Raw genomic sequence first — 14,481 nt, 5'->3', positions numbered from 1 at the left:
ATTTTTAAGTGTAGGGCTTGGTGGTATTAAATAATTTCATACTGTTTGTACAACCATGACCACAATCCATCTATAGAATTATTTTCTTCTTGTATGATGGGAACTGTATCTTTATTAAACAATAATTTTCCCTTCTCCCGTCAGCTCCTTGTAATTATAATTCTACTTTCTGTCTCTATCATTTTTGACTACTCTTAAGTACCTCATGTCTTAACCATTTTATATTGCTATAGCAGAATACCACAGTGTAGGTAATTTATAAAGGAAAAAATGTATTTCTTACAGTTTTGGAAGCTAGGAAGCCCAAGGTTGAGAGGACTTCATCTCGTGAGGACCCTCCTGATGGATCATCCCATGGTGGAAGGTGGAAGAGGAAGAGAGATCAAGAGAGGGCCAAACTGGGTTTTATAACAAGCTTACGCCTACAATAACTAACTCAATTCCATGATAATGACATTAAGAATTTCATGCAGGCAGAGCCCTGGTGACCTGGTAACCTAATCAGCCACTTAAAGGTCCCACTTCTGAAAACTGCTGCATTGGAGGTTAATGCAATTAATATCTCACATGAAATTTGTGGGACACATTCAAACCATAGCATCATCTAAGTGGAATCATACAGTAACCTATTTTTTATGACTAGCTTATTTCACTTAGCAAGATGTTCTCAAAGTTTATCCACATTTTAGCATACATTAGACTTTTCTTCCTTTTTAAGGCTGAATAATATTCCATTGTATTTATACACCACATTTTGATACTCATTCATCCAGTAAGGGACTGTTGTGATGCTTCCTAGTTTTAGCCATTGTGAATAATGCTGCTATGAACATGAATGTACACATATGTCTTTGAGAAACTGCCTTCAATATTTTGGGTACATTCTCAGAAGTGGAATTAACAGATCACATGATAAATCTACTTTAAATTTTTTGAGGAGCCACAATACGATTTTCCACAGTGGCAATACTATGTTATATTCCCACCAACAGTACACAAGGGTTGCAGTTACTCCACATCCTCACCAACATGTATTTTATTTTCTGTTTTTTTTATTATAATCATCCTAATGGTTGTGAGGTGATATCTCATTGAAGTTTTTCTTCACATTTTCCCATGGAGTAGCATTGTTGAGCATTGTTTCATGTGTTTGTTGGCCATTTGTATATCTTCTTTGAAGAAATGTCTACCCAGATCATTTGCTCATTTTAAAAATCAGATTATTAGATTTTTGCTGCTGTTGTTATTGAGATTTAAGAATTCACTATACATTCTGGATGTTAATTCCTTTTAGATATATGATTTATAATTATAGACTCCAATTCTGTGGATAAAATTCTCCGCTGATAGAATCTTTTGATGTACAATTAAAAAAAATCATGTAGTTCATTTTGTCTATTTTTTCTTTTGATGTCTGTGCCTTTCATGTCATGTCCAAGAAATCACTGCCAAATCCAATGTTGTGAAGCTTTTCTACTAAGAGTTGCTCCTTCCTCTTCGATTTTTTGGAAAATAATGGAAAATATTTGTATTAGTTTGTCATTAAACATTTGGTGGAAGTCACCAGTGAAGACACCAGGGATTTTTTTTTTTAATCAGGAGAATTTTGACTCCTGATTAAATCTTCTTACCAATTATAGGTCTATTCAGATTTCTTAATTCTCTGTCATTTAGTGATGACAGTGCTTTTGTTTCAAAAATTCATCCATTTTATCTAAGATATGTAATTTGTCGATGTAGAATTCTTAACTATAGTCTCATAAGCTTTATTATTTCTATAGAATTTGTAGTAATGTCACCACTCTGATTTCTGATTTTAATAATTTGATTTTTCTTTTTTTTCTTAGTTTGTCTAGTTAAAAATTCATTAAACTTCTTGATTTTTTTCATGGAATCAACTTTTTATTAGTTTTCTGTAGTGTTTTTCTATTCTCTATTTTGCTTATTTCTGCTATAACCTTTACTGTTTCCTGCTTTCTTCTAGCTTTGGGTTTAGTTTGATCTTCATTTTCTTGTTCCTTAAGTTGTAAAATCAGGTTGCTGATTGGAGATCTTCTTACTTCTAATATAAGCATTTGAAAGTATGTATTTACTCTTTAGCACTATACTCACTGTGTTCCCCAAATTTTGATGTGTGATTTCGTTTTTATTCATATCTAAGTATTTTTAAATTTCCATTGTGTTTGCTTATTTTATCCATTGGTTGTTTAAAAGTATGTTGTTTAATTTTTACAACTTTTTTGAGAATGTCAGTTTTCCTTCTTGTTATTTATTTTTAACTTCATTCCATTGTGGCTGGAGAAGACAGGTTGTATTATCTCTGTCTTTGTTAATCTATTGAGGCTTGATTTTTGTCTTAGCATATGGTCTATCCTGAAAATGTCCCATGTGGATGTGAGGAGAATGTACATGCTGTTGCTGTTGCTGTTGGGTAGAATGTTCTGTATATGTCTGTTAGATCTTTTTGGTGTATTCTGTTGATTAAGTCCTCTGATTTTTTACTAATATTCTGTCTAGTTGTGCTATCTATTATTCAGTATGGTGTATTGAAGTCTCTATTATTGTAGAACTGTCTATTTTTCCCTTCAAATCTGTCATTTTTTGCTTTATATATTTTGATGGTCTGTTATTTGGTTTGCAAATGTTTATAATTATTATACTTTTTTCCTCTATGAAAACTTATTGATATCTAATGTACTTTTGGCTCTTATGCCCTTTTTTAGTTAAAGTATATTTTATCTGATATTTGTGTATCCACCTCTGCTCTCTTTTGGTTACAATGTGCATGGACTATCTTATTTCATGCTTTTTCTTACAATCTATTTGTGTCTTTGGACTAAAGTGAGCATCTTCTAAGATCTCATTTAGTTGGAACATTTTGTTAAAACCCATTCTTCAAATCCCTGCTTTTTGAGTAGAGGATTCAATCCATTTGCATTTAAAGTGGTTACTGATAAAGAGGGATATATTTCTGTAATTTTTCTGTTTGTTTCCTTTATACCTTATACCTTTTGTCCCATATGTCCTGCATTAATATTTTCTTCTTTGTATAATTGATTTTTTATATTGAAACATTTAATTCCTTTCTCATTTCCTTATGTGTATATTCTATAGCTACTCTCTTTGGTTACTATGGGGACAGCATTTTAATGTCCTAAACTTACAGTACTCTAATTTGTTATACTAGCTTAACTTTGATCAACAAAAGCTGCCTATTTACAGTGTAGTCATCACCACTTTAGTTGTTTATGTCACAAAATTACGTCTTAATATATTGTGTGCCCCAAAACATACACTGATAATTCTTTAAATGCATTACTCTATTAAATTCTGTATAAAACAAACTGCTGAGTTACAAACCAAAGTTACAATAATACTAGCTTTTACATTAATAATTTAAAAAAGTGTATTAATATCTTAAATTATGTGGAAACAAATATTAAAGTTACAAACCATTACTAAAATAATAGATTTTATAGGTCTAGTCCTGATGAGGTCCCTCAGGTTTTGTTGATCTGGATATGTGTCAATTTTTCTTTTAGGTTTGAAGACAGTATTGCAGGATACAGGATTCTTGATTGACATTTTTTTTCTTGTAGCATTTTCAATATATCGCCCACTGCCTTCTGGTCTGTATAGTTTCTGATGAGAAATCTGCTGACAATCTTATTGAGAATCCCTTGTACGTGATGAAATGCTTTTTGCTGCCTTAAAAATTTTCTATTTGCCTTTTTCTTTTCAAAGTTTTATTATAATGTGTTTTGAAATTGTTCTCTTTGAATTCATTGTAATTGAAGTTCATCGACCTTTTGGATGTTTACATTTATGTCTGTTATCAAATTTGAGGAATATTCAGCCATTATTTCTTGAAATGTTATTTCTGCCTTCATCTAGGTCTCTTTTACTTCTAAGATTTCCACAATGTGTAAGTTAATATGCTTGACTCTGTTTCATAGGTTCTGTTCACCTTTCTTAAATTTTTTAAAAATTTTATTCAGACTCACTTATTTACATTGTCTTTTCCTCGACTTTGCTGATTCTTTTATCTGCCTACTTAACTCTGCCATTGGATACTTCTAATGAATTTTTCATTTCTGTTATTGTACTTTTCATTTCTAGAATGTATTTTTGGTTCTTTTTAGATTTCCCATCTCCTTGTTGATATTTCCATTTTTTAAATAAATTATTTTCTTGACTCCATATCTTAAAGATGCCATTTAGGATCTTTGAGGCAGTTGTCTTAGTCTTTGTCTAGTATATCTGCCATTAGATCTTTTTCAGGGTCAATTATTGTTGCTTTTTTCTTTTTTTTTGAGTGGGTCATACTTTTCTGCTTCTTTGAATATCTCGTGAAGTTTGTTGAAACTGGACATTTGAATCTAATTATGTAGTAAATTTGGAAATCACATTTCCCCCCTTTTCAGGGTGTTTTGCTTATTATTATTATTATTATTATATCATTATTATTGTTTAATTTTCATGCTGTCTTTATAACGAGAATTACTTCAAAGTGTAAACTTAAGGTCTTCTCAGGTCTTTTCTGAATCTGTGCCTTTTCCTCAGCATACATGGTCACTTTCTAATTTTCTTCATCTATGAAATTGCTTTTCAATGTCCTGTCCTTCTATGTCTTGCTGCAAAAATGGGAAAAATAGAAAAATGAGAAATGAGGAATGGATGGATGATGTTGTGGTCCTTTAAATATTCTGAAAGTCACTTCGTCTCAAGGGGAATTTATTGGCAACAATGGGGAAAGTGCAACAAAATGGCTGCCCATCATTTTTCTGCACCTCTGTGATCAGAAGCAGCAATCACTGACAGGATCACAGATTCCTAATATTTGGAGGACAGAGTGCTTTGAGGGTACCCTGCTTTCCACAAGCTGTGTGCAAGCTGCTCTTCTAATCCCTGCACATTTTTCCGTCAGAAGGATGAGGGTTGAGAATGAGGAGCTGCTATTGTGCTAAGAGCTGAAATTTACCATCGATGCGTTACCAGAATTTGCAAGCCTTTCATAGACTCAATAGTTCCAAAATAGTTCCATCAAACATTCTGAGAGTGCATTTGTTGTTTAAGTACAGAGACAGTTTCTTCATGCTTCCTACTCCACTATCTCCCCAGAATGCTGCTCTGCATCTAACGTTTTAATGGCAACAATTGAAGATGGAAGACACTAACTTGTGTTTTTCAAGAGCTTAGAGTACTTATATCCTGGAATTATATCCAGGAAAATTGCCCCTCACAAATAAAGACAAATGAAAGATATTTTCAAAATAACAGAAGCTGAGATAATTCAACACCAACAGATATACACCAGGGGTACTCCTAAATTATTTATTTCCAGAAGAAAAAAAATAATGTTAGGAAATTCTGCACAAAGGAATAGTGAACAAATAAAAAGGTAAACATGTAGGAAAATATCACTATGATTTCATTTTATGAATACAATGTAGCTCAAACTTTGAAAATCAGATCACAATATTAACATGTTAAAAAGAAAAAACATATCTAAAATCGTTGCAGAAAATCATCTAATAGCATTAAGTAATTATTTATAAACAAAATTCTCAGCACAAAGTAAAATCAAAGGGAATTCTTTCTTAAATTGATAAAGATTCTCTACCAAAATCTTCAGCAAACCTTACACTCACAAGAAATGTTGCAATTGCATATATAAACTGCCTTAACTTTTCTTCCTTTTAGCATCCCTGGGTGGAAGAAAGCTAGGCCCTTTGTTTGTTTGTTTTAGTCCTATATTTAGTATAAGATGGCTTGGAACCAGAACAGTTGCAGCAGTCTGAAGTGTAGATTGCTTTCCCTTCTTATACTATCTGTATGGAGGAACGGATTTGCTCTGGGGCAGTAAGTATCACACAATGCTCTAACATGGTATAGTATAGAGTTGGAATGCCTAAATTCTAACTTAGCCTCAGATCAGCTATGAGATCTTCATTAAGTGTGCAGGTCTCTAACTGACATGTTTGATCAATGAGGCCTGCTGACCAGATTGTATTTAATGTCCCTTTCCTTGGATGGGCTGGAGCTGGCTGCCATACTTCTCAAACTTGAGCGAATATACAGCTTCCCAGGGCTCCTGGGAAGCCGTTAAAATGTAGATACTGTTTAATTGGATTTAAGGTGCACCCTGACTTTCAGCTTTTCTAACAATCTTTTAGTGATGTCAATGCTGCTGGATCAAATATATTTAAGTAATACATTGTAAATAGCAACGTATTTTTCTAAAGCATCTTTAGAATACTTCTCTCAATCAGTATACTTTATTGAACTTAAAGGAGATCCAACCTACAAGAAAATGACTTGCAGGCAACATTTTTTTTGGGGGAGGGGTGTGCAGTATTCTTTTTTTATTATTATACTTTAAGTTCTGGTGTACATTTGCACAATGTGCAGGTTTGTTACATAGGTATACATGTGCCATGTTGGTTTGCTGCACCCATCAACTCGTCATTTACATTAGGTATTTCTCCTAATGCTTTCCCTCCCCCAGGCACCCACCCCCTGACAGGCCCTGGTGTGTGATGTTCCCCTCCCTGTGTCCATGTGTTTTCATTATTCAACTCCCATTTATGAGTGAAAACATGTGGTGTTTGGTTTTCTCTTCTTGTGTTACTTTGCTGAGAATGATGGTTTCCAGTTTGATCCATGTCCCTGCAAGGGACATGAACTCATCCTTTTTTATGGCTGCATAGTATTCTGTGGCATATATGTACCTCATTTTCTTTATCCAGTCTATCATTGATGGACATTTGAGTTGGTTCCAAGACTTTGCTATTGTGAACAGTGCTGCAGTAAACATATGTGTGCAATGTGTCTTTATAGTAGAATGATTTATAATCCTTGGGTATATACTAAATAATGGGATTGCTGGATCAAATGGTATTTCTAGTTCTAGATCATTTAGGAATCGCCACACTGTCTTCCATAATGGTTGAACTAATTTACACTCCCACCAACAGTGTAAAAGCATTCCTATTTCTTTTTTTTTTTTTTTTTTTTTTTTTTTTTGTTGTTTTTTGTTTTTTGTTTTTTTTTTTTTGAGACGGAGTCTCGTTCTGTCGCCCAGGCGGGAGTGCTGTGGCGCGATCTCCGCTCACTGCAAGCTCCGCCTTCTGGGTTCACGCCATTCTCCTGCCTCAGCCTCCCGAGTAGCTGGGACTACAGGCGCCCGCCACTGCGCCCGGCTAATTTTTTTTTTGTATTTTTAGTAGAGACGGGGTTTCACCGTGGTCTCGATCTCCTGACCTCGTGATCCGCCCGCCTCGGCCTCCCAAAGTGCTGGGATTACAGGCGTGAGCCACCGCGCCCGGCCAAGCATTCCTATTTCTTCACATCCTCTGCAGCATCTGTTGTTTCCTGACTTTTTAATGATCGCCATTCTAGCTGGTGTGAGATAGTATCTCATTGTGGTTTTGATTTGCATTTCTCTAATGACCAGTGATGATGAGCATTTCTTCATATGTCTGTTGGCTGCATAAATGTCTTCTTTTGAGTAGTGTCTGTTCATATCATTTGCTCATTTTTTGATGGGGTTGTTTTCTTCTTGTAAATTTTTTTAAGCTCTTTGTAGATTCTGGATATTAGCCTTTGTCAGATGGATAGATTACAAAAATTTTCTCCCAATCTGTAGGTTGTCTGTTCGCTCTGCTGATAGTTTCTTTTCCTGTGCAGAAGTTCTTTAGTTTAATTAGATCCCATTTGTCTATTTTGGCATTTGTTGCTGTTGCTTTTGGTGTTTTAGTCATGAAGTCTTTGCCCATGCCTATGTCCTGAATGGTATTGACTAGGTTTTCTTCTAGGGTTTTTATGGTTTTAGGTCTTACATTTAAATCTTTAATCCATCTTGAGTTAATTTTTGTATACAGTGTAAGGAAGGGGTCCAGTTTCAGCTTTCTGCATGTGGCTAACCAGTTTTCCCAGCACCAGTTATTAAATAGGGAATCTTTCCTGCATTTCTTGTTTTTGTCAGGTTTGTCAAAGATCAGATGGTTGTAGATGTGTGGTGTTTTTTCTGAGGCCTCTGTTCTGTTCCATTGGTCTATATATCTGTTTTGGTACCAGTACCTTGCTGTTTTGGTTTCTGTAGCCTTGTAGTATAGATTGAAGTCAGGTAGCATGATGCCTCCAGCTTTGTTCTTTTTGCTTAGGATTGTCTTGGCTATACAGGCTCTTTTTTGGTTCCATATGAAATTCAAAGTAGTTTTTTCCAATTCTGTGAGGAAAATTGTGGTAGCTTGATGGGGATAGCATTGAAACTGTAAATTAATTTGGGCAGTATGGCCATTTTCATGATATTGATTCTTCCTATCCATGAGCATGGAATATTCTTCCATTTGTTTGTGTCTTCTTTTATTTCCTTGAGCAGTCATTTTAGTCTCCTTGAAGAGGTCCTTCACATACCTTGTAAGTTGTATTCCTAGGTATTTTATTCTCTTAATAGCAATTGTGAATGGTACTTTACTCATGGTTTGGCTCTCTGTCTGTTATTGCTGTATAGGAATGTCTGTGGTTTTTGCACATTGATTTTTTATCCTGAGACTTTGCTGAGGTTGCTTATTAGCTTAAGGAGATTTTGGGCTGAGACGATGGAGTTTTCTAAATATACAGTCATGTCATCTGCAAACAGAGACAATTTGACTTATTCTTTTCCTAATCAAATACTCTTTATTTCTTTCTCTTGCCTGATTACCCTGAGCAGAACTTCCAAAACTATGTTGAATAGGAGTGGTGAGAGAGGGCATCCTTGTCTTGTGCCAGTTTTCGAAGGGAATGCTTCCAGTTTTTGCCCATTCAGTATGATATTGGCTTTGGGTTTGTCATAAATAGCTCTTTTTATTTTGAGATACTTTCTATCAAAATAGAAAGTATCTGGTCCTGGACTTTTTTTGGTTGGTAGGCTATTAATTATTGCCTCAATTTTAGAACCTGTTATTGGTCTATTCAGAGATTCGACTTCTTCCTAGTTTAGTCTTGGGAGGGTGTATGTGTCGAGGAATTTATCCATTTCTTCTAGATTTTCTAGTTTATTTGCTTACAGGTGTTTATAGTATTCTTTCTGTGGGATCAGTGGTAATATCCCCTTTATCATTTTTTATTTCATCCATTTGATTCTTCTCTCTTTCCTTCTTTATTAGTCTTGCTAGCAGTCTATCTATTTTGTTGATCTTTTCAAAAAATCAGCTCCTGGATTCATTGATTTGTTGAAGGGTTTTTTGTGTCTCTATCTCCTTCAGTTCTGCTCTGATCTTAGTTATTTCTTGTCTTCTGCTAGCTTTTGAATGTGTTTGCTCTTGATTTTCTAGTTCTTTTAATTGTGATTTTAGGGTGTCGATTTTAGATCTTTCCTCCTTTCTCTTGTGGGCATTTAGTGCTATAAATTTCCCTCTACACACTGCTTTAAAGGTGTCCCAGAGATTCTGGTATGTTTTGTCTTTGTTCTCATTGGTTTCAAAGAAAATCTTTATTTCTGCTTGCATTTCATTATTTACGCAATAGTCATTCAGGAGCAGGTTGTTCAGTTTCCATGTAGTTGTGCGGTTTTGAGTGAGTTTCTTAATCCTGAGTTCTAGTTTGATTGTACTGTGGTCTGAGAGACAGTTTGTTGTGATTTCTGCTCTTTTACATTTGGTGAGGAGTGTTTTGTTTCCAATTATGTGGTCAGTTTTAGAATAAGTGTGATGTGGTGCTGAGAAGAGTGTATATTCTGTTGATTTAGGGTGGAGAGTTCTGTAGATGTCTAGTAAGTCCACTTGGTCCAGAGCTGAGTTCAAGCCCTGGATATCCTTGTTAATTTTCTGTCTCGTTGATCTGTCTAATATTGACAGTGGGGTCTTAAAGTCTCCCACTATTATTGTGTGGGAGTCTAAGTCTCTTTGTAGGTCTCTAAGAACTTGCTTTATGAATCTGGGTGCTCCTGTATGGGGTGCATATATATTTAGGATAGTTAGCTCTTCTTGTTGCATTGATCCCTTTACCATTATGTAATGCCCTTCTTTGTCTCTTTTGATCTTTGTTGGTTTAAAGTCTGTTTTATCAGAGACTAGGATTGCAACCCCCGCTTTTTTTGCTTTTCATTTGCTTTGTAGATCTTCCTCCATCCCTTAATTTTGAGCCTATATGTGTCTTTGCATGTGAGATGGGTCTGCTCAATACAGCACACTGATGGGTCTTGACTCTTTATCCAGTTTGCCTGTCTGTATCTTTTAACTGGGGCATTTAGCCCAGTTACATTTAAAGTTAATATTGTTATGTGTGAATTTGATCCTGTCTTTATGATGCTAGCTGGCTATTTTGCCCATTAGTTGATGCAGTTTCTTCATAGTGTCTATGGTTATTACAATTTGGCATGTTTTTGTCGTGGATGGTACTGGTTGTATCTTTTCATGTTTAGTGCTTCCTTCAGGAGCTCTTGTAGGGCAGGCCTGGTGGTGACAACATCTCTCAGCATTTCCTTGTCTGTAAAGCCTTTTATTTCTCCTTCACTTATGAAGCTTAGTTTGGCTGGATATGAAATTCTGGGTTGAAAATTCTTTTCTTTAAGAATGTTGAATATTGGCCCCCACTCTCTTCTGGCATGTAGAGTTTCTGTTGAGAGATCTGCTGTTAGTCTGATGGGCTTCCCTTTGTGGGTAACTTGACCTTTCTCTCTGGCTGCCCTTAGCACTTTTTCCTTCATTTCAACCTGGGTGAATCTGACGATTATGTGTGTTGGGATTGCTCTTCTCGAGGAATGTCTTTGTGGTGTTCTCTGTATTTCCTGAATTTGAATATTGGCCTACCTTGCTAGGTTGGGGAAATTCTTCTGGATAGTATCCTGAAGAGTGTTTTCGGTGCTCTACACATTCAGGGAAACTTCCCTAGTAATGAACCATAGAAATGATCCCTGAAAGTATAGTCTTGCAGGCAACTTTTTAAAAAATATTAATTACATTAAATTCCTTTAATTAGCAATGTATCTGTTCAGTTTCACTGATACGCTAAAATCAATGAGGTGTTAAATCTTTTTTAAAAAAATTTTTAGCATGACTGAAGGTATCATGCTATAATATAAGAAACAACCACTGGATTTGTAAGCCTGAGACCTGGGTGCTAATCTCCTCTACCTCTAATTGGTTATGATTGAAAATTTAGGTTATCTAAATCTGTTTTTTCATCTGAGGAATTAAGAGTTGAATGAGCTACATGATTTCTCTGGATTGCTCTAGTTCTAAACTGATATGATTATAAAACTTTCATAATTATAGGAGCTTTGAGGTAGCTTATAGATGACATTTCAAATCATTTATACATAAGCTAAGCAGCAAAGTGCAGAGTTGAGTCCAGGCAATTATCTCAATCATTGAGAAACATAATGAGTATTTTCAATTGGATCATGGGTATTACATGCCTTAGTTCATAAAATTCACTGGAAATAGATCAATTTGTCTTTTATTTTTGTAGTCATCACTGTAACTTCTGTTAAACTAGAAGGATAATAAAATAAAAAATTGCAAAAGAAAAGCATTCATGTATTGTGAACACTTAGTAGCACACATTATGCTTCCTATTACCCTATTCCTACAACTACCATAAAAATAATAAAATTCAAAAAATATTTATATTTTAAATAGTTTTTGGGCTACTTAATAGGGTTAGCATAATAATTTTCTCAAGATTTCTTTGATTCCTGGGATTTATTCATTAAAAAATTGAATAAGCATACATATTTATTAACTTAGGCATGGAATTTAACGTTTGTTGTCTTGAAGATTTTGTAAGAATTTATAGGCTATAATTCTATTTTGGACAGTTTAGAAAAATTATATTTTAAATATTTCACATAATAGAACAGGGGAGCTATAATGGAAAGGATTAAATTATGACAATTTATCTTCAACGTGTTTTGGAAGGAAGATTGATGTTCTTTCCCGCAAAGGTAAATTGGCCCAATAATTTTAGCATGGTGAAATTTATGAAATCTAGGAAACCTTTTAACTTATATTTCTGTACATCTATATTAATAAAAGATTCTCCATAGCCTAAAATAGACTTTCCTTTGCATGCATTCATTTTATGAAAGTCAAATGCTAAATTAGAAAGGAAAAGGAATAAAGCAAATTGGGCATGAAGATAAAGCAGATGTTTCTGACACTGTAAAGACCTAGCAGAGTGATTCAAAGTCATGATGGGAGAGATTTGTCATTGGAGTTACTACATGCTGTTCCTACCCTCTTCTCCATGATCTGAGCCAAGTCATAGTACGGACTGCCTCCTGATTCCCACTGTGGTTTTGTGTTTCTTCTTCTTTCTTTCTTTTTTTCTTTTTTTGAGATGGAGTCTCACTGTTGTCACCCAGGCTGGATTTCAATGGCACAACCTTGGCTCACTGCAACCTCCGCCTCCCTGGTTCAAGCAATTCTCCTGCCTCAGCCTCCCATGTAGCTGGGATTACAGGCAGGTGCCACCCCACCTGGCTAATTTTTATATTTTTAGTAGAGACGGAGTTTTGCCATGTTGTCCAGGCTGGTCTGAAACTCCTGACTTCAGGTGATCTGCCCATCTTGGCCTCTTAAACTGCTGGGATTACAGGTGTGAGCCACCACACCTGGCTGGTTTTGCATTTCTTTCTCCACTACCGCACTCCACTAAATGGTATCTGCCCTATCTTCTCTATTTATACCTTTAGTATGTGGATCTCTTCTAAGTATACACAATTTGACTGCAAATTCAGAATTACCTGGGAGCTTTAAGAAATACTGGTGCCTGGGGTCCTACCCACAGAGATTCTGATTTAATTGGTCGGAGATGTGGCCTGGGCATTGGGATTTTTAAAAGCTTTCCAGGTGACTGATGTGTAATTGAAGCCCACTGAAATCTACCAGGTAGTCTAATGGCTCTTGGGAGTTACCACCTTACTTAATGCTCGCAATAGTCTTCTAGGTAGATATTATAATCCTTTGTAGAGGAAAAGAAGTGGAATATCAGGAAGACTTAATGACTAGCTTAATACCACTAGTACATGGTAGCTACAGGATTCTATCCATGTTCTCCATTATTGCACGTTTGCTCTTTTCCTTTACTTTAGAATCAGGCTGAGTTTTATGTTCTGTGACCCAGATTCTCAGCAAAGCCATAGTCTCTTTTCTTGCTGTATCAAGCTTTTGTTAAAACAATAGTCTTCATATAAACTTAAAGAAACATTTACTTATGTATGAAATTTTCTGCAACTATAATAGCAAGATGACTTAGGTTATTTTTCCCCTTAATGTAATGTGGAGCTGCAGTGGTCCATTTGAATTTAAATTGGCATGTTCTGTCTTTTAACCTGACCAGCAGTGCAAAGATCTTTATTTGGTGTTTTCTGTATTTTGTATGGTGACAAGAAATTTGAATCTGCCCTTACTTAATTTTAACTATGCATTTAAATATGTGGATGTATTTTCAATATTGTGGGCCCTGTCACAAAATCCAGACCATTTCTATTAGTAACTTACATAATTTTATGGCAGGACCAGAATGCCACTCAAAACACTTTTCTGAGATTTGTTAAAATTACATTTAAAAATATATTTATTCAATATATTCCAATATTACATTTGATAATCATGTTGAATTATGGATTTCCCACTCTTCATCTTATATGCTAAAATTGTGTTTATATTTAAGTCATTTATTTGATGAGGAAAGAGGCACCCTAACTTAAAAGAAGAGCACTTTGATGGATTATTTTATGTACAGCTGACAAAAATTGTAATTTAATTACAAAAAGGATCCAAAAATGCTAAATAGAAAATACATTGAATAGCCGCCCCGTCTGGGAGGTGAGGGGCGCCTCTGCCTGGCCACCCCTACTTGGAAGTGAGGAGCCCCTCTGCCCGGCCAGCCGCCCCGTCCGGGAAGGAGGTGGGGGGGTCAGCCCCCCGCCCGGCCAGCCGCCCCGTCCGGGAGGGTGGTGGGGGAGTCAGCCCCCCGCCAGGCCAGCCACCCCTGTCCGGGAGGGAGGTGGGGGGGTCAGCCCCCTGCCCGGCCAGCCGCCCTGTCCGGGAGGTGAGGAGCGCCTCTGCCCGGCCGCCCCTACTGGGAAGTGAGGAGCCCCTCTGCCCGGCCAGCCGCCCCGTCCGGGAGGGTGGTGGGGGAGTCAGCCCCCCGCCCGGCCAGCCGCCCCGTCCGGGAGGGAGGTGGGGGGGTCAGCCCCCCACCCGGCCAGCCGCCCCGTCGGGGAGGGAGGTGGGGGGGTCAGCCCCCGCCCGGCCAGCTGCCCCGTCCGGGAGGGAGGTGGGGGGGTCAGCCCCCCACCCGGCCAGCCGCCCCGTCGGGGAGGGAGGTGGGGGGGTCAGCCCCCGCCCGGCCAGCTGCCCGGTCCGGGAGGTGAGGGGCGCCTCTGCCCGGCCGCCCCTACTGGGAAGTGAGGAGCCCCGCTGCCCAGCCACCACCCCGTCTGGGAGGTGTACCCAACAGCTCATTGAGAACGGGCCATGATGACAA

At 37.0% G+C, this 14,481-nt stretch overlaps 1 protein-coding gene and 1 pseudogene across 2 annotated transcripts in view; one reads left to right on the top strand and one right to left on the bottom strand.

Annotated features, from left to right (window-relative positions):
* Positions 1-14,481, top strand: part of EDIL3 (EGF like repeats and discoidin domains 3) — a 444,327-nt gene that overhangs the window by 58,360 nt on the left and 371,486 nt on the right. The gene's annotated exons all lie outside the window — the stretch shown is intronic.
* Positions 10,831-10,916, bottom strand: LOC124901223 (uncharacterized; annotated as a pseudogene).

This window comes from Homo sapiens, chromosome 5 (genome assembly GCF_000001405.40).
Source record: "Homo sapiens chromosome 5, GRCh38.p14 Primary Assembly".
Classification (NCBI taxonomy): domain Eukaryota; kingdom Metazoa; phylum Chordata; class Mammalia; order Primates; family Hominidae; genus Homo; species Homo sapiens.
The sequence above is the reverse complement of the archived record's forward strand: the minus strand, read 5'-3'. Positions and strand labels throughout refer to the sequence as shown.